Source organism: Homo sapiens, chromosome 3 (genome assembly GCF_000001405.40).
Source record: "Homo sapiens chromosome 3, GRCh38.p14 Primary Assembly".
NCBI lineage: Eukaryota > Metazoa > Chordata > Mammalia > Primates > Hominidae > Homo > Homo sapiens.
Genome location: NC_000003.12, coordinates 65,127,615 through 65,147,548, shown reverse-complemented (window position 1 = coordinate 65,147,548; position 19,934 = coordinate 65,127,615). Strand labels below are relative to the sequence as shown.

The 19,934-nt window shown below is 42.1% G+C and overlaps 1 annotated feature.

Annotated features, from left to right (window-relative positions):
• Positions 523 to 1,282: an enhancer, noted in NCBI's record as "OCT4-NANOG-H3K27ac hESC enhancer chr3:65131942-65132701 (GRCh37/hg19 assembly coordinates)". NCBI's record gives its function as "activates a minimal SCP1, AML or CMV promoter by ChIP-STARR-seq in naive H9 embryonic stem cells {active_cell/tissue: H9 hESC(naive)}" and the evidence as "EXISTENCE:reporter gene assay evidence [ECO:0000049][PMID:30033119]".

The following is a 19,934-nucleotide window of genomic DNA, read 5'->3' as shown; positions in this document are numbered from 1 at the left end:
TTTGCACTTTGTTGAGTTGTATTTAGGGTATGTAGGCTACTCTTAAATTTAAGGTATTTAGGGTATTCCTCAGAAAAAGATGCAGTCACATTTATGTCCCTTAGCAAGCTGCAGAGTTAGTGGTCAGGAACACAATCTCTGGAAACTTTCTGCCTGGGTATGTGAACTTAGGCAAATTACTCAATCTCTCCATGCCTTTGTTTCTTTATGTGTGAAACGAAGTTAATAACAGTAGTGCCTACTTTGTAGTGTTGTCACAAGGAGAAGCTAAGCTATACATAAATTGCATTAGAATAGTGCCAGGTAGTACCTAGGAAGCACACAGTGATTTTTGCTGTTACTTGGATTAGTTTGTTAGTATTGCTAGTGAATTGTTCTTTTCCTTGAATCTATCCACGGATTGTGTCCTTCATGTGGATAATAGCTGAACAGATGTATGTACTGCTTTTTACAACATGTAGGCAGATAGGGGCTGAGAATAGTTAAACATAATCCCCTGGTCTTTTCATTTGGATATCCTCTTTTGGGGATCAGGAAGCCATCAGGCTGTGGAGACCTTGGCAAAATAGAAGGAATAGAATTGGGGTGGGGTTGAGAACCTGCTGAGGTGGCTTCTGAAGTTCTGAGATAGGGCTCAGGATGGTTTTAAACTGGGATCTCTTTTAAGCTAGACTACTTCTGACCTTATCACTAATATGCCATTAAAACCAGCAACCTCTGTTGCTCTGATTGGCTATTGGGCTATTCAATGTTCTTAGAATTTCTACCAAGTTTTAATATCCTTGGTGTCACTTTCTAATACTTCAGCTTTTTATTAACTTAAACTACATTATTGAATTTAGTAATTATCTTGGTCATTATCTTGCAATACACATATGTCATCTTAAAGCATATGTTTTCTAGCTGATGGAACAGGCTGGAACCTCTCATGCGGGTGGAAAAACAAACCCTTTCTATATAGACAGGGAGGTGTCCAGCAACAAATCATGTAGTTTCTTGTTTGTTTCTCAGCAATGCAAATTGCAGGCGTATGATAGCTGTCATGCAACATAATGGTGGGAGGACAAGTTCAGGATCTGATTTCATAAACATTTCAAAGAGTTGTACTGTGTGTCTCCTGACCTGCATCATTCCTTTAACTTGAGGCCACCTTGCCATGTGCAGAAACCCTCTCAGGAAATGAGATGAGTACATCTCTGCAGGTGGCAGGCAGGTGTAATAGGAAAGGAATGTGGAGACTTAACGTTGAGTTTCTGTGATGTGGAAATCACTGCAGTTTCTCTTTGAGCTGTCGGAGAGGCAATGGTGGATTTGTAATGAGAGAGCTCCTCCTCTTTAAGAAGGGTTCTCTTTCATTATTCTTTTTTCTTGTTCTTCTTTTCCTTTTTAGGGAGAGAACTCTATAGAGGGTGGTGTCAGAAATTTGCTGGGGCCTGTTCTCCAGACCCGCCCACCTCCCAGACAGACATTTATGAGACAGAAAGAAGATGATCTAGAGAGTCTAGTTGATGTACAAATGATGGAAGGGATGTGATCATTTCCTGGAGTAGAGGAAATCTTGATAGGAGGACTGTGACAGATACCCACAGCTGATCTCCACTGCCTGTTCTTAGAAACTCATTTAGTGGTGGGCTGTGCAAGATAAGGCTGTCCATGCTGACCCTTTCGGGTTTACTTCCAATGTCATCTATGTCTTATCACTCTTGTTTCTTGGTCAGGCCTTTCTCTTGCCATAAAAGGCTTAGGGGGACCTAAACTCCATTTATCTACAATTCTGCTTATTAGCATCATGAGTTTATTGCCCTCTTATGCCTGGAGTTAAATGGGTTTTTTGAACTCTCTTCTAAAAGTCAAGTCATCCTTCTGAATCTCATCTCTGATTAGTAGAACATAAACTTTATTTCTCTATTTTGATTTTCTTTTTCTTGAACCATGACTTCCCCCTTTTGATTGGAACAGAAATGACTTGATTATATTCTTTCCCCCTCCAGAAATTGTATCAAAATGAGAGACATCGTGGGCTGTTTCTTGAGCTGTTCCTTGCATAATGTCTTCTTGATAGGCCAATTACAGTGAACAAAACATTTTAGATGACATCTAACTGGAAACTTGTAAACTACATTGTCACTTTGATTTCTGTTCTATCACTTACTATTGTATTTTTCCCTATTTTAGCTATAATCTTCCATGTGGTTTTTAATTCAGCCCAGGTTCTGAAACTTAAAAATGTGTTTGTGTGGCCAATATGTTACACCAGAATGGTCTCTTTTTATTCACAGTAAATGTGGGGCTTGGTTTATATGTGTTTGTACCAATTCTTGTTCCTAAAACTCAAAGCCCTTTGCATTTTTGTGGATATTACTAAAGAAGTTATTCATACACTGGTATTGCCATGATTAATACACACTCCATTTTGTGGCTTATTGCATCTCTGACTGTAGATGAAAAATTCTTGGTAGTTATGCATTCTATTTGAAGTTGTGATAAGAACTGACTTTTATGTTTACTCCTGATAAAGGGATTTTTTAAGATGTCTACTTACTGATGCAGCATTGGAAATCCTTTATAAGCTGAAAGGAAAATAACATCCCCTTGGCATCTTGGCTCCCATGTCTGGAAAGTCTCTACCTAAGGCCTTCAAGCAGCAAGTGTGGCAACATTGCCATCCAATAGAACTTTCTGCAATCCTGGAAATGTTCTATTCATAGCTAGTAGCCACATGTGGCTATTAAAATTTGGCTAGTGTGCCTGAAAAGTTTTTATTTCATTTTATTTCATTAATTTGAATTTAAATACTCACATGTATCTAATAGCTATCTTATTGGACTAGGTATAATCAGGAACAGGAAAAAGTTGATTATTGAGGCTTCTATTAAGTTTGTAAACTTTTCCCTTTTTCTCTCTTGTGTTTAACTTTGCCCTGAAAAATTAGTAATAGTTATAAAATTTTTGAGTCCTTATTATGTGCTATCTGTGCTACATGTTTTAATATGCACTATTTCATGTAATCTTCATTTCAGACTACAAGGGAGCTACTACTTCATTGTTGTTAAAATGGAGACAAAGAGAAAGGAAGTAACTTGCCCAAGGTTACACAGGGAGTTGGAGTTACAGCCTGAGGCCAAGAGACCCCATATGGGTGCTTTTATCTCTCTACCAGTGCCTCAGTCTGTTTGGGCTGGCATCACAAATTACCACCAGCTAGGTCATTTATAAACAATAGGAATTTATTCTCATAGTTCTGGAGCCCGGGAGGTCCAAGATCAAGGCGCCAGCAGGTTCAGTGTGTGGTGAAGGTTTGCATTTTCCTTTCAAGATGGCGCCTTGTTGTGTCCTCACCTGTTGGAAGGGACAAACAGACTCCCTCAAGCCTCTTTTATAAGGGCACCAATCCCATTACATGAGGGTTAGGATGTCCTTTTTGGGGGAGTGGCGTATGCAATTCAACCCACAATAGGAGCCTGTTTTTTTCTGTTAGGAATGGAACTTTCTTGCATTCTGAGAATGCAGAAATCTTGGGTAATTTTACATTGAGATTTTCTGGAAGAAGAGTAGTATAATGGAAAGAGTACCACATTGGAAATCAGGAGGGCTGGATTTGAATCATGAGGGTGTTTTAGTCCCTCCATTCCTTGGTTTTCCCATCTGTGAAATGGGGATAACAACGGCAGTAGACTGGTCTTGCCTCTTTTTCTGGCAGGCCTTGCTAAGTGAGTGATGAATGGAGGCTGCGGCCAGCACAAAGCCATTTCCTCCACAGGCTGAGCCTGCCAGTAATGCCTATGGCTCTTTCTCCCATATCTCTTGTCCCCACAGCAGGTCTCAGGGCACAGCCCTTCTTGAAAGTTCAGGAGAAGATGGGAAGGTGGTGGCAGAATTCAGCATGACATCGTATACCCATTGTTTTTAAGACTCCCAAGGATATGCTGGTATTTTATGATGGGTACTACCGGTAGGAAGGAAGTGGCAGGGGTGGTGGCACCCCCATGTAGCATGATGCTGGAGAGGAGGCTGAGCAGCTGAATGCCCCTTTCTGGGTCCAGCTCTGCAGTCACCAGCTATGTGGACGAGGTGGACTCACCTCTTCTCGGAGTCCCAATCGTTTCCTCTGTTGCCAAAGCAGAATTAGATTCTGTGTTCCCTTGGCTCTTTTCTGCCCTTCCTAACTTTCTCTTGAGGGATGCAGAATTAAGCCAAAGACCAGTGAGGCCTTTAAAAGGTTTTGCTTATTTGTTTAGCCCACACTCATTTTCACCTTTCTCAGACTTAGGTTTGCTTTGGAAGCATGGAAGTAAAGTTTAACCTCAGATGAGCAGCTTAACACGGGTACCTCCTCAGAAGTTAGGGAGTTAGATGTGGATCAAAGCTGCTCACCTTCCCAGTGTCCACAGGCTTGAAAGCTCAAATACACCCTACCACTGATATCGAGAAAGTCTGGCAGTAATTCTTCTAAATATCTCTTACTCCGTGGTCTTGCAATGAGTGGCAGTGTGTGTCCTTCCTTCTGTCCTCTGTGCCGTAGTCTTCCAGTAGGGCTCCTGGGCTTATTGACTCAGGTCTTGTGCTGTTCTTTTTCCTGTGTGAGGTTTATCAAATAGGAAAACACAGGAGGTAATCAGGCAAGTAAAGATGAAATTAGGACTGCATCCATTCTTGTCTCCAGATTAGCTGTGTCCCAAATTATACACAGAGATGGAATCCTGACTTTTATAAAATTTATCTGGTATTAGGAAGACAGAAACAAAAGAAGATGCCACCATTGTAAACAATAGCTAGCTATCATGCTGTGAGCAGACTTGCTCAGGTTGTTGGAAGGTGATTACTTGCTTCTATTATTATAAGTTGGCTTTTCAAGAAACTGCTTTGTTTAGTAGTATGCAGTGATTTGAGGAATGTGTTTTGTAAGTGATTCTCTTTTAAGTGGACATCTCAACTCATGATGCAGCTGTTCTTCTAAATAGTTTGCTATTGTCAATAGTGCTGCAGTGAACATATGCATACATGCATCTCTGTAATAGAATGATTTATGTTCCTTTGGGTATATACACCCAGTAATGGGATTGCTGGGTCAAATGGTATTTCTGGTTCTAGATCTCAGAGGAATTGCTACACTGTCTTCCACAATGGTTGAACTCATAAATGGGAGCTGAGTAGTGAGAACACACAGACACAGGGAGGGGAACAACACACACTGGGGCCTGTTGGCAGTTGGGGTGGAGGGAGGGAGAGCATTAGGAAAAACAGCTAATGCATGCTGGGCTCAATACCTAGGTGGTGCATTGATAGGTGCAGCAAACCACCATGGCACCCATTTACCTGTGTAACAAACCTGCATATCCTGCACATGTACCCCAGAACTTCAAAATTACAATTAAAAAAATTGCTTATGGTATATACTAGCTTTGCTCCTTCTTAGAATTCTGAAGGGAAAATTTATCTTCCAATTATGAATATGCCAATTTTCTAAAAATGTACAATAACTTCACAGAGGAGCTTAATGAGTGTTTAATATTCAGCACTGGATTAGATTACATTTCCATGGGAATAACAGAAAAATCCCCAAATAGCAGAGGGTTAAAGAAGATAGAAGTGAATTTCTTTCATACATTTAAGAAGCTAGAGGCAGTCGACCCAGGGATGGCATGGTCTATGGCATAAGAGAACAAGATTTCTTCTATCTTACTTATCTTGTCACATGTGTTTTTCTTTCCCATATATGTCATGGTCTAGGATGGCGGCTTACCTCCAGCCTTTACATCTACATTCTAACCAGCAGTAAAGAGCAAGGAGTGGCAAAGGGTACTCTCCCGTCCTCTAAGTGAACTTCCTAAAAGTTAAGTGGCCGGGTGCGGTGGCTCACGCCTATAATCTCAGCACTTTGGGGGGCTGAGGCAGACGGATCACGAGGTCAGGGGTTCGAGATCAGCCTGGCCAATATGGTGACACCCCGTCGCTACTACAAATACAAAAGTTAGCCGGGCGTGGTGGTGTGCACCTGTAATCCTAGCTACTCGGGAGGCTGAGGCAGAAGAATCGCTTGAACCCAGGAGGTGGAGGTTGCAGTGAGCCAAGAGCATGCCACTGCACTCCAGCCTGGGCAACAGAGCAAGACTCCATCTCTTCAATTATATGCTCATTCATATCATTATCTGATGACCTTCTTTTTTCTCCACTAGACTATAAGTTTCTTGAATGTAGAGATTATGCCTGTGTTTTCACTGCCAAACCTACTGTGGCTACCAGTGCTCAGCATGTGATGAACACTTAATAATATATGTAAAAAGAATGAATGAATGTAAAAAGAATGAATGAATGTATCAGTAGGCTGCTATTAGCTCCATAGTAACTTCAGTCTCCATATTAATGACAATAATTTTTCTTTTACTAATTAGTTTGTTTACAGGTTGTCTTTGTTCATTTTCTGCTGCCATGACAGAATACCACAGACTGAGTAATTTATAAATAATAGAACTTTATTTGGCTCACAGTTCTGGATGCTGGGAAGTCCAAGAGCACAGTGCTGGCATCTGGGTCATCTCATGGTGGAAGATGGAAGGACAAATCAGCACACCAGACAGAGAAAGAAAATCAGGTTGATTCTTTTATCAGGAGCCCAATCCTGAGACAGTTAACCCACCTGAGTGATAAAGACATCAATCCATTCAGGAGGGCAGAGTTGATAATGGAAACAGGAGAATCCTTCTGTTTCTACCTGTACAAACGGCTTTACACTCCATGTGTGAGTTTTCTCATTTAGAGATGTGGATAGTAGGGGAACCTGTCTTTGAGATACGTATTGGTTTGGATAGGCCATGCTGCACTAACAAATCTTCCCAAAATACAGGTGCTCAATACCACAAAAGTTTATTTCTCATCAACACAAAATCTGCTGTGAGCCAGGTGACTCCCCAGGGCAACTACTACCCATTCACTGACTTACCAGTGATCTAGGTCACCTCAAACTTGTGACATGCATTAAAGCCACTTTACTGCAGTGCTTTAAGGAAAGCAAGAGAGAGCTTGGGAGAAGGGGGATCATTATTCGCCCCCCATCTCTTAAGTGCTTCAGATAGCAAGGGACAGATGTCACAGCCACTCACAGCCCACTGGTCAGAACTAGTCACATGGCCTTACCTGATGGCAAGAGGGCAAGACCATGTGCGAGAGCACACACGAGTAGGAAATGAATCAGCCATGGCGTAACTGTCACAATTCAATATTTGACGATGATGATGACATTCTGAGAGATGTTTCCTTGAGAGCAGAAGTTTTATTTCTCCTTATCCCTCACCCCTTCCTCCCTCTCCACAAACAAACAGGTAGTAATCAGCACATGATTAATACCCTCTAAATGTCTGCTGAATAATAGAACACAAGGGGGAAAAAACAGCCGCATTCAATAAATGATAGCTTCAATGATGAGGAGGATGATGGCATTCCAATGAAGGAGCAATAAATTGCAGCTAAATACACCAGGAAGTTTTTGTGGTGATATTGAATGTATTTGAGCTGGCTATGTAGGTCAAATAGGATTTCAAGGGGCATGTGGCGAATCAAAAAAGAGGACTAATATGAACGATGTTCCCAAAGCATCAAGTGTCATGTGTGAAGGGAGGTGATTGCATGTGGCCAGGCCAGGAGAAAGGGATAGAGGCAGACATGAGCATTCTCATGAGGGGAGCATCTCAAGTATTAATCTGCTTTAAAAAAAGGGTTGACTTCAACTAGACTGATGGTGCAGCCCATTTATCACCAGGTTCCTGTCCCTATCCGGCTCTCCCTTTTTGCTCCTTCTACTTTCAATGTGCCAGATCCCTAAGAAAGGAAGGAGCTCACATTTTTGACAGACTCTGATATTTAGTGAACAAAGAAAGCCTTTCCCAGTCTCCTGACCTACCCTATAATTTGTATATACTTTGTGATAAAAATATGGAAAATGGGCTTTGAAACAAAAATATCACCTTTGTATTTTTTTTCCTGACACTTTCATCTAATCTCCCTGTTACTCTCCAGTAGCTGTCAGGGTTGGGTTAGCTCAATGTGGGCCTCCATCTCTCTCATCTATTTAAGAAAGAGAGGTTGGAGAGGAGACCTTTGATTTGTCTTTTCATCTGCTGTTTTTCACGTTTTCAGAGAGTGAAAACATGTCATTGGCCTTTATTCCCCTTTTCTGAGTAAAATATCCTTTCTATTTCTATGGAAACCCTCTGGAAGTGCTACCATTATTTTGGTAGAAGCCACTGATTCTTTATGCTGTAGGAATTGTTTCTCCCTGCTGTAAAAGTGAGGTATTTTTCACTGGATAGGGCCAGATTCTCTTAAAGTGTGTTCTATATTTCTTCTAAATGTATGTTTTTCATGATATCCCAAGAAGGGGGCAAAGATGCTAAATTTATCGTGGAACTTAAGGTGAAGGATGGTTTTCAAGACATCCCAGCTTAGAAGGTGAGGCTCCAAGTTGAGTTTGAGGGAACCTGGGGAAATAATAGCATTCCTAGGTTGAATGTGGTAGCTAACAATATCACACGTTTCTGAGAGTGATTAGGAGCTAAAAATGAAGGCTCTTGTGGAGTGGAATGGTACATTAATCAAGGAAATTGGAATCCTCATGCTTTCTTTATGCATACTGGAATAAATTAAGGTAAAAACTAATTCATCATGGCCATTCCACGATGCAGGCACCTTGCCTGGAAAATGAAAATTGAGGGAATGGAATTGCATTGGGGGGAAGGCACGTTACACTCGACCCAACTGAATTAATGAGTGCTTGGCAGGGGTCTGGCAGGCAAGTGAGTTATCAGCTTGTTGGTATCACTCTAGTAGTCTGGGAATTTAAGATAATGGGAAAAGAGAGGGAGGACTGGGGCATAACAGGCTAAGAGAAAGCAGACTATCAGATGCCCATGGGAGCAGAGAGCTTAGATGTCATTAAAAAAATGACCTGGCTAGCAACAAAGATTGATGTGAAGAGAAGAAAGAAAAGGGAAGGACCTTTTGAAAGTGCTTTTGGCTTGATCAGGAGGTAATTTATTTACTGTTTAACATGGCAAGAAATGCAAAATGAGATTCCTGGGTTGGAAAGGGGGTTTCATATTTGGCCATCAGTCAGGGGCTTAAAATAGAGTCTCCTGAACCTGTAGGCCAAACAGGTATGGCAGTTTAGCAGTCTGTGCCTCAGGATTAGCCTACAGCAGTGTTGGAGGATGGCAAATATCTGGTGATTGTCATGGCACATGGATTTAGAGATACAATGTAGAAGATGTGAAACCAAGTCAAAATATAATGCCAAAAATGTAAGGAGGAAGGTCTCTGGGCCAGACAGTTTTCATCAAAGTAATAGTTTCCATTTATTGAGATTAAACCATGAGTATATCATTAGATTTAATCCTTACAACAATTTAGAAGTTAGATCAAAGTATTGTGTCCACTTTACAGATGGATGGACTGAGGTTCAGAGACGTTAAGTGATGTGAAGAGAGCACCCAGCTAAGATAAGGTGGCTTAAGATTTGCGATACCTAATGCCAGCTAGGTATTAGGTATCTCAAATCTTAAGCCCCATCATGCAGAGTTCAAACTCTGAACTGCTGCCTTTCCTAAGAGACACATAAAAGACAGAATATGCTCATGAAGATCAAGGTAGGCATGTATCCTGACTTAGGCAGCAGTTAAAGGGCAAAAATACATGTTGGAAATCAAGATGGTTCCTGTGCACTTTTCTTGACACCATTACCTCAGATCTCTGTACTGATCTTTTTTTGTTTTGTTTACTGTTCTTTTCCCTTGCTTTATTTGTACCCACCATTTAGACTGTGGTTTTGATCTGCCTTCTCATTCTGTGCTGTTCTTTGTTTATATCTAAGCAGTCAACATATAATGGTGGTTAAAGGTGTGGTTTCTGCTGCTGGGTTGCCTGGGTTCAAATCCTAACTTGGCTACTTGGCTAGCTAAGCCAGTGGCTTTTTGTGATTCAGTTTCTTCATCTTTTTTAGTTACCCATGGCTATATAACAAACCGCCCCACAACTGAGAGGCTTAAAAAAATTACAATCACTTGGCCAGGCACGGTAGCTCACACCTGTAATCCCAGCATTTTGGGAGGCCAAGGCAGGCAGATCATGAGGTCAGGAGATCGAGACCATCCTGGCTAACACAGTGAAACCCCATCTCTACTAAAAATACAAAAAAGAAAAAAAAGTTAGCCGGGTGTGGTGGAGGGCGCCTGTGATCCCAGCTACTCAGGAGACTGAGGCAGGAGAATCACTTGAACCTGGGAGGTGGAGGTTGCAGTGAGCTGAGACTGCACCACTGCATTCCTGCCTGGGTGACAGAGCAAAACTCCATCTCAAAAAAAAAAACCACCACTTAGTTGTTCACAATTCTGCAAGTTGACCAGGGCTTGGGATGGGTGGCTTGGCATGGGAGGCTCATCTCTGCCCCCATGTGCTGTTGGCAGTGGAGGTGATCTGGGGGTGGAAAAGAGGAGTGGGGAGAGCTTGACTAGAGCTGGAGGATGCAAGATGGCTTTGCTCACATGCCTGGGGCTTCGGCTGGCATAGATGGAACTGCTAGGGCCTCGCTGACCCTCTCTGTCTCTCCATATGTTCTTTAATCATTCAATAATCTAGCCCAAGCTTCTTGACATGAAGGCAGGATCCCAGGAGGCCAAATGCAGAACCTGCCACGTCTCTTAAGGTATAGGCCCAGAAATATTAATATATGTCACATAACATCCCTTCTGCTCCATTTTATTGATCAAAGAGAGTCATGAGTCCAGCCTAGGCTTAAGGGCTGGAGAAATAGACTACACCTCTTGGTGGGAAAGATGGCATGTGTGTTAAAGATGAATGGAATTGTGGGAGGCCATTTTTGCAGATAATCTACAGGGAGGATAAATGATCTTTCCTAACTGGATTATTGATACAGGTAGTTCACATTACTGACTTACTTAATTCTGACCACAACTTTAAGAGTTATCAAGAAAAAAGTATAAGGATTTATAGACTGTGGGGTTCTATTTTAAGATGAAACATGCACCAGAGCAGATTTGAAGCAGGGCGTGAATTTACTGGCAGTAACCCTCATTATAAGCAAGTGGATGTGCTAAAGTGAGAAGTTAAAACATCGATCAGTTAGGTGATGTTTTGTTTCCTTCAAAGACAGGGATGTGCTAAGTTTTTCCAAACAGCTCATTCTCTCATAATTATCTACATTATAATTCAATTTCCATGAGGGTTTAACAAAATTGTTATTACAGAAATGAATTTGTTATTTGCAATAAAGTCTACTTGCTTGACAATCCAGAAATTTATAAAGGTTTTTCTTGTAAGTGGTTATTATAGGCAATATGCAATATTCCTGTCCAGTGCTTTTGACAACACCCATGTCACAGCATGTTACACATCATAAATACATGGAACCTTTTAGTGCCAGTGCTCCCATAACCTTGTTTACTGAAATTTATCGTGACTTCTGAAAAGGATCCCATGAGTGATGGCATATACAAGGTCATCCAGGATGGGATCACATAGGAGCCTTAGTAAATCCAGCAAGCTAAAAATCTTCAATCTCATGCTGTGTTATAGATATCAACAACTCATTTTCCCTTTTCATGTGAAATCCTGCAACGCTCCTTTTTTTGAAGCTTTCCATGTCCCACTCTTCACACACAGAGTGAAGCACTCAGTCTTCTAGGCCACTTCTGCGGGAGGACCATTATATGCCCATCTGTCTTAACTGACTTCAGGCATACTCAGTTGAGACCCCTAATGCTTTGCCCATAAACAGGCAGTGAATGAAATTTAGCCAGGTGGGAAGGTAAAACACAGAGGAAGAATGAGTGAATAATACCAGGGGGTTTGCCAACACAGAAACATCAGATACCTTGCTTAGGAGGCAGTTATGACTTCCTCAACCTTCTGCAGGAATAAATGGAAGAATCATTTAAGGGCCATGAGAAATATTGACTATCACTGTGCTTTCTGGGTGACCTAGAGGAAATTTAGATTGTGCCCAATTTTCATCTTTAAACACCACTGTCTTGGTAAGATTAGGCTCTACCTCTACAATTCCATTGTTACTGTACTTAAAGTACTCTATTGTGTTTGCTTGCCTCCTCTATTTATTTTTTTGTTTTTGTTTTTCTCAGTGGCAGGGTCTCTCTCTGTTGCCCAACCTGGAGTGCGGCAGCACAGTCATAGCTCACTGCAGCCTCAAACTCCTGGGGTCAAGTGATCCTCTCACTTCAGCCTCCTGAATTACTAGGACTACAGGCATGTGTTACCACGCCCTAATATTTTGTTGTTTTTATTTTTTGTAGAGACAAAGTCTCGCTGTGTTACCCAGGCTGATCTCAAACTTCTGGCCTCAAGCCATCCTCCTGCCTCAGCCTCCCAAAGCACTGTGATTACAGGTGTAAGCCATTATACCTGGCTACCCCCTCTATTTGGATATAAGTTAGGTTACAATAACAGAGACCCCAAAATATAGTGGCTTAAATAAGATGGAAGTTTTGTTTCTCCCTCATAGAACAGTCCAAGGATGAATAGTCCAGAGTAGTTGTGCCATCCTAAATGTGTGGCTTCCATCTCTGGGCACAAGAAAATGGCTAGAGTTACTGTCATATCCCAGCCACTGGGAAGGGAGGAAAGGATAATGGGGGGAGTGCAAGCAGCTTCCTTCACAAGATCATGATCTAGAAGTTGCAGGTATCATCTCTGCTCACATCCTATTGGCCAGATTTGGTCACATATTTATACCTGATTAAAAGGGAGGTTGGAAACACTAGACCTCAGCAAGGCAGCCGTGTTCTTCACTAATACTTGAGTTGGTGGTGGAGATTCTATTAAAGAGAAAAATGGGAAACAGTTATTGCAGGGTGATTAGCAATTTATACTCCTCATTACACTGTAAACTCCCTGAGGGTCAATACTTTTAATTATTTGGCACAAAGCAGGTACTCATGAAATGCCTGTTTAATTCAATTAAATGTAATTGTACAGAATTTTCCTGAATGTATATTTATGGTCATGTGTCTCTCTTATAAACTCCATGAAAACAAGGAATGCTTGTTTGAATCAACTCACCAAGATGTCATATAGCAGTTTTACACAAGGTAGACATTCGTTCATAGACAACAGGTACTTATGAAGCACCTACTGTGTGCCATATACTTTGCTAGGCTCTGGGGATTTAGCAGAGAATGGCAGTTACATAATCCTTCCCCTCCATAATCTTCATCTAGTGAGGATGGCTGACATCCTGCAAAAATAATTCTAAATAACTAAGTAAATAATCTTAAGAGTACAGAGTCTCACAAAGGAAAAGTCCAGGATGCTATGGGGTTATACGATATGGAACTCAACTCGGTCTACAGAGTTAGGAAACCCTCCCTGAGGAAGTACGTGTTGAGGTTAAGTCAGTCAAGAGGTAATTATTGAGCATCTTCTATACCCTGGGTACTTTTCTAGGAATTCAGGATAGAAAAGGAAAAAGGAAAGAGTAGAAAATGCCTAGAAGAGAGTAGGGAAGGACATCTCAGACAGAGGAAATGCCATGTGCGTTGCCCTGGTGAGAACTGGGAGAGAGCCAGGAATATTCCAGGAATTGAAGGAAGTCAACATAGCTAGAGCCAAGAGAGGGAAGGAGGAGTGGAAGAATGGAACAGGGCTGGAGAGGGGGGCAAGATTCACATCACGCAGGGCTTTGTAGTTTGCATTAAAGATTTGGATCTTAATTCTACAAACATTAGGAGTGGTTAGAGAATATAAGCCAAAGAATGGCATTCATTCACTCATTTTCATTTAACAGATATTTTGGGGACCTTTATGTCAAAGATTGATCAGGTAGTGGGTATAGAGCAGCAAATACAACATAAGTTTCTGAGATTAACTGCTTTCTGGTATCAGTTTTCCCCTACTTCTGCAATAATAAAACCCCTGCTTTTTGTCTGGGCCTGTGCAGAAATATAAGCCACATTTCCCAGCCTCCCTTGCAGAAGGCATGACCATGTGACTAGGTTAAGCTAATAAGATGTAAGCAGAATAATATTTAAAGGACAGAGGGCCTTGCCTCTTTTTACCTAGTCTTCCTTCCTCCTGGTTGGAAAAGAGATGCCATGACTGGGCCTGGAGATAAAAGCCTTGTAGGAAAGAGAATAAAAAAGAGAGAGAGAGCCTGAGCCCTTTAGAGATCTTGGAGCCACCTTACCAGCCCTGGACTGCTTACCTCTGGATGAAAGAAAGAAAGAAGTTTTAATCTTAAGTCACTGTTAGTTTAGATTTTCCATGACCAGCAGAGGAAGCTCATCTTAACTGGTATAACAGGTCAGGTTCCAGTTCTCAAAAAATTTATGTTCTATTTGGGAGAAACAGGTAATAAACAATGGAAGGGAAAGATCACTTGGAGATCAGCATTCAGAAGAATATAATGCTGGATGGTTCCTTCAGATTTATGGTCAAGGAGATGTCTTTGAAGAAGTGACAATTCAGCTGCTGCATGTGTGAAAGATTGCTGGCAGAGGTATAGCAAATGGGTTATAAGAGGGGGCATTCTCCTCCTATTAGACAGGGAAAAGGGATAGAAGGTAACAGTCTGATTTATGTTGGTTTTCTTTCTTTTTTTTCTTTTTTTTTTTTTTTGAGATGGAGTGTTGCTCTGTCACCGAGGCTGGAGTGCAGTGGTGCGATCTTGGCTCACTGCAACCTCCACCTCCCGGGTTCAAGCAATTCTCCTGCCTCAGCCTCCTAAGCAGCTGGGACTACAGGCGCCTGTCACCATGCCCAGATAATTTTTGTATTTTTAGTAGAGACAGGGTTTCATCATGTTGGCCAGGCTGGTCTCGAGCTCCTGACCTTGAGTGATCCACTCGCCTCAGCCTCCCAAACTGCTGGAATTACAAGTGTGAGCCACTATGCCTGGACTTACATTGGTTTTCTAAGATCAGTCCCTACATACTCTCATTCAACTGCCCAAAACCTGTACCATAAAAATACCAGAGGAGAAATCTCAAATAGAAGTCCAAGGGGACATCAACTTATTCAGCTTGCACCACCACACTCACAACAGTTACCAAAGTGTTCTTCTACCTCCAGCCAAAGGGACAGACTGCCCAGAACCTGAACCAGTGACCAGAGGTGAACACATTTGTGTTTCATTTGATGACAGACTTTGTGGTTGATCCCACCAACCTCCATCTGCAAATCACACATTTTAGACCAGCACAGTGGCATCACCCCATGTTAAAGCTGATTAACCCTTTGGAAAGTATCTAGTAGATATTTAGAAAGGAAAAGTATCCTCCTTTCTGCAGAGCATCTTCTATACCCTGGGTACTTTTCTAGGAATTCAGGATAGAAAAGGAAAAAGGAAAGAGTAGAAAATGCCTAGAAGAGAGTAGGGAAGGACATCTCAGACAGAGGAAATGCCATGTGCATTGCCCTGGTGAGAACCGGGAGAGAGCCAGGAATATTCCAGGAATTGAAGGAAGTCAACATAGCTAGAGCCAACAGAGGGAAGGAGGAGTGGAAGAATGGAACAGGGTTGGAGAGGGGGGCTGGGTCCTCCTCCTGCAGAGAAGCGGAACTTCACCCACCAGTGAGGACACTGTTTCCTTAGCACTCTGAAATTAGGACATTTGTTATTGGACTACAGGTCGTGTTCAGAGCAGTTGTTATATATGGTTTTTCTCTCCTGACTTTGCTCTGTCCTTTCCCCAGCATCACTTTGATTCAGTAGGGCTGACAGGCTGACAAAGATGCTCTTTTGAATGATTGGGGAAAAGATGTGGCATCAGCAATCTTGTCCTGTGGACAGAGCATAACCAGATACTTTACTGATCTCTTCTCCAAGCAAGCAGGAATTATAAGAAAGGCTTCTATAACCAGGGTTTGGAGGGGGCATTTGGATACCTTTTATGGCTATGGTACCTATTCATTACCTCTAACTTATATTGTTGGCATGAAAAAACCACCACACTTCTCCCTTATCAAGTTTGCTTCTTTCTTTGTTTTGAGACAGGATCTCACTCTGTCACCCAGGCTGGAGTATAGTGGTGCGATCTTGGCTCACTGCAACCTCTGCCTCCTGGGTTCAAGGGATCCTCCCACCTCAGTCTCCCAAGTAGCTGGGCCTGCAGGCATGTACCACCATGCCAGGCAATTTTTTTGTTGTTGTTGTTGAGACAGGGTTTCACCATGTTGCCCAGGCTGGTCTTGAACTCCTGGACTCAAGCAATATGCCTGCCTCAGCCTCCCAAAGTGCTGGGATTACAGGCATGAGCCACCGTGACCCACCAGGTTTGCTTCTTCCTATCAAGGTTAACATCGTTACCTAATATTTACCAGGGAGGTATGAAGAGGTTCTGAGATGATGATGGTAAGAACCCCGGAACTTGATGGAAGAGTGGTTCATGTCCTGAGTAAGGCATTTCATGATCTACAGGTGAGCGCACTGGCTAGGAATCTGAAGACTCTTGTTTTATTAAAAGTTGTAGGCCAGCCCACTCTCAGTACTCAGGAACTCTGTGAGGGTAGAATATCATAACGTTCACACTCACTGAGCTATTAGGAAGGCCAGAGCTATCAGTAATTCTGAACATGGAAGCTGATTAATCATTGCATTGACTCATTCACTAGGCTTCTGAACATCTGGAAGAAAACATAAAATAGTGATTAAGAGTGTGGATTGTGGAGGCAGGGAAGCATGGGTTCAAGGACCTGTTCCGCCACTTTTAGCTGTGAGACCTTGAGAAGGTAAGTCTCTTCACTTCTCTGAGGCTCAGTTTCTTCATATGTCAAGGAAGAATGAGGAAAATATTACCTTCCTCTGAGGGAAATGTGACAGTGATGTAAGTCATGCATGCAGAGCACTTAGCACAACACCTGGCACCTGGTAAACACTCAGTAAAAAATGGCTTTAAAATGTGTTATCAATAATGATTCACCAACTGAGTGAACATTTTAAATACACTGTATATTGATATTGTCTCTTGGCTTGATTCATTATTGGACTGGCTAGTAGTGTCACAGCCATTGATGAAACCTTGAGACCACACACTTTAAGATTTCTCATCTCTGTTTTTAAGTATGATTTTCTAAAAATCCAATTCTAAAGGGCCAAGCTTAGAAACTTGCCCAATCCCATGGCTTGGCAGCCTCAGAGAAGAGGCAATCGGACAGACAGTTCTGTACCAACAACAAAACTAGGAGAGAATGCAGCTTAGGAAAGAAGCAAAAAAAAAACAGCACTAACTGGAAGGTACGAAGTGTGAAAGAAGTGCTCGAAGGATCCTCAAAAGAAGGAAATTTAGAAAATGGAAATTTCTTGGTAGGTTGTAGAAACTTATGTGGTAGACAACATTGCATTCTCCCTTCGCACAGAGAGAAAGAGAGGTTGTGTGTGTGTGTGTGTGTGTGTGTGTGTGTGTGTGTGTGTGTGTGTCTGTGTGTGTGTGTGTCATTTTCCTTTTTCTTTTTTTTTTGAGACAGAGTCTGGCTCTGTTGCCCAGGCTGGAGTGCAGTGGCGTGAGCTTGGCTGACTGCAACCTCCACCTCCTGCGTTCAAGTGATTCTTCTGCCTCAGCCTCCTGAGTAGCTGGGACTACAAGCACCCACCACCACACCCGGCTAATGTTTGCATTTTTGGTAGAGACAGGGTGTCACCATATTGGCCAGGCTGGTCTCGAACTCCTGACCTCATGATCTGCCTGCCTCAGCCTCCCAAAGTGCTGGGATTATGGGTGTAAGCCACCATGCCTGCCCTTTTCTTTTCAATAAAATGCCATTTCCCCCCCCAGATATCTTCCTATCTCCATTCAGTGAAGAGGACCCTCTCTCCAGCCAAAGGGTTAGTTTGATGTGTTTCAGCCAACTGAGTAATTCCTCTTGCTAGTAAATTATTTTAAGGGTGGGCATAAGGCCTAGCTGTGGCCGATGAAAATAGTGTGACTGGCTGGGGGACTTCTTACAATTTTTCCAGAAGAAAATTCTACTTCACTCTTAAACTCAGGAATAGATTGTCTCTTTCTTGCCACAACTTGTTTCATCCCCGTAGGAATCCTGGAGCTGTTTGGGCAGCCATCTTGTGACCATGAGGAGAGTTATCCTGGAGTAAAACTCCTACATTGAAGATGGTGGAGTCTAAAAACTAGAGACAATAATTTTTCTAACGCAGGCAACACTTTGAGACAGTGACTAATTCTCTTGAAATATGCTTTGTGTGAACTTGGGTCTTGAACTAGAGACAGTAATTTTTCTAACGCAGGCAACACTTTGAGACAGTGACTAATTCTCTTGAAATATGCTTTGTGTGAACTTGGGTCTTGACATTACCCATGTGTGTCCTTGTCCTGTTCTCCCAATATCGAAAGTATAGAACTTGGTTTACGATATTATTTTTAGCCATTGCCTACTTGAGGGCCAATCACGGAAATGATCTATTGTCTTCAGGGGGCAAATTATCCAAGGGGCAAAGGGGTATCTTCTGGTAAATCAGCGGTGGAATAACAAGAGCAAGGTATTCTTAGCCCAATACATGAATCCTTCTCTTTGAACTGCCACTTGTTAACCATGGGAATTTAGACAAATTTCCTTTCTCTCAGCCTCAGTGTCATCATCTTTAAAATGATGTTAATAACACTGACTTTTTTATTTCCCTTGCTGTAAAGGATCAAGTAGGATCGTGTGTATAGAATGTACAATGACAATTCTACAATGGTATAGGAATGCAAAACATCAATGATACCGATAGCAATTATGATATCTCATCACAGGTCTACAGCTAAGGGGGAAGCATACTGTTGACGTTTTGAACTGCTTTCACTGTTTTCGTTTTATCTCTGTGATTCACCAGAAGAGAAATTCAAACTGACTTTTGTTCCAGGGTAACTTAAGAAGGACAACCCAGAGGGAATAAATGTATGCCTCTTTCTCTTAGAAGCATTAAGCAGTAAAAAAGAGAACTTACTCATCCCCTTTCACAACAGGTGAGGGCATTCCCCCACCTCGGGTTCCCATTTCACAGGCCAGATAAGGAGAAGTTTACTTTTCTCCCCGGTGAGAAACGGAATCCAGCGTGGAAGCTCAAGAATGATACTGATCATGTGTGGACACGAGCAAGCTGCTCTCCTGATTCAGATATCACAAGGTAAATGTCTTTTGGAGTTTCAGCACCCCATCTCAAGGGGAGTAGAGAAAACCTTATAACTTCTGCCTAAAAGACAAATCTCAGTATGTGTGTGGAGTGGGCAGTTTTTTTCCTTAAATTTTTGCCATTTTTCTCTAAAGGTACAGTCATGTGGCAGGCCATGGGACTGGCAGGTTTCTATGTTTATTTCATTAGAATTGGACTTTCAGAGAATTATACTTAGAAACAGAGGTGAGGCTAGGCACAGTGGCTTATGTCTGTAATCACAGTGCTTCGGGAGGCTGAGGTCGGAGGATCGCTTGAGGCCAGGAGTTTGAGACCAGCCTGGGCAACAAAGTGAGACTCTATTTCCATAAAAATTTAAAAAATTAGGTAAGTATGGTGGCACATGCCTGTAGTCCTGGCTACTTGGGAGGCTGAGATGGGAGAATTGCTTGAAGCCAGGAGTTTGAAGCTGCAGTGAGCCATATCACGCTGCTGAACTCCAGCCTGGGTGACAGAGCAAGATGCTAGTTCTAAAAAGTAAAAATAAAAGCAGAGATGTAAAAACTTAGGGTGTGTGGTCTCAAGGTCTCATCAATGGCTATGACACCACTAGTCAGACCAATAATGAATTCAGCCTGAAAAAAATATATATCAAAAAGAGGCTATCAAACCAACCATTTAGTGTTGTGGAAATTGTGGGTCTCAGTGAAATCACCTCTCTCTAGGAGTTGTATAGCAAATACATGGATGCAATTTTGGTTGCTCCAAGGATTGGAGAATATCTGTAGCTTTTGTTTTTCTGTTACAG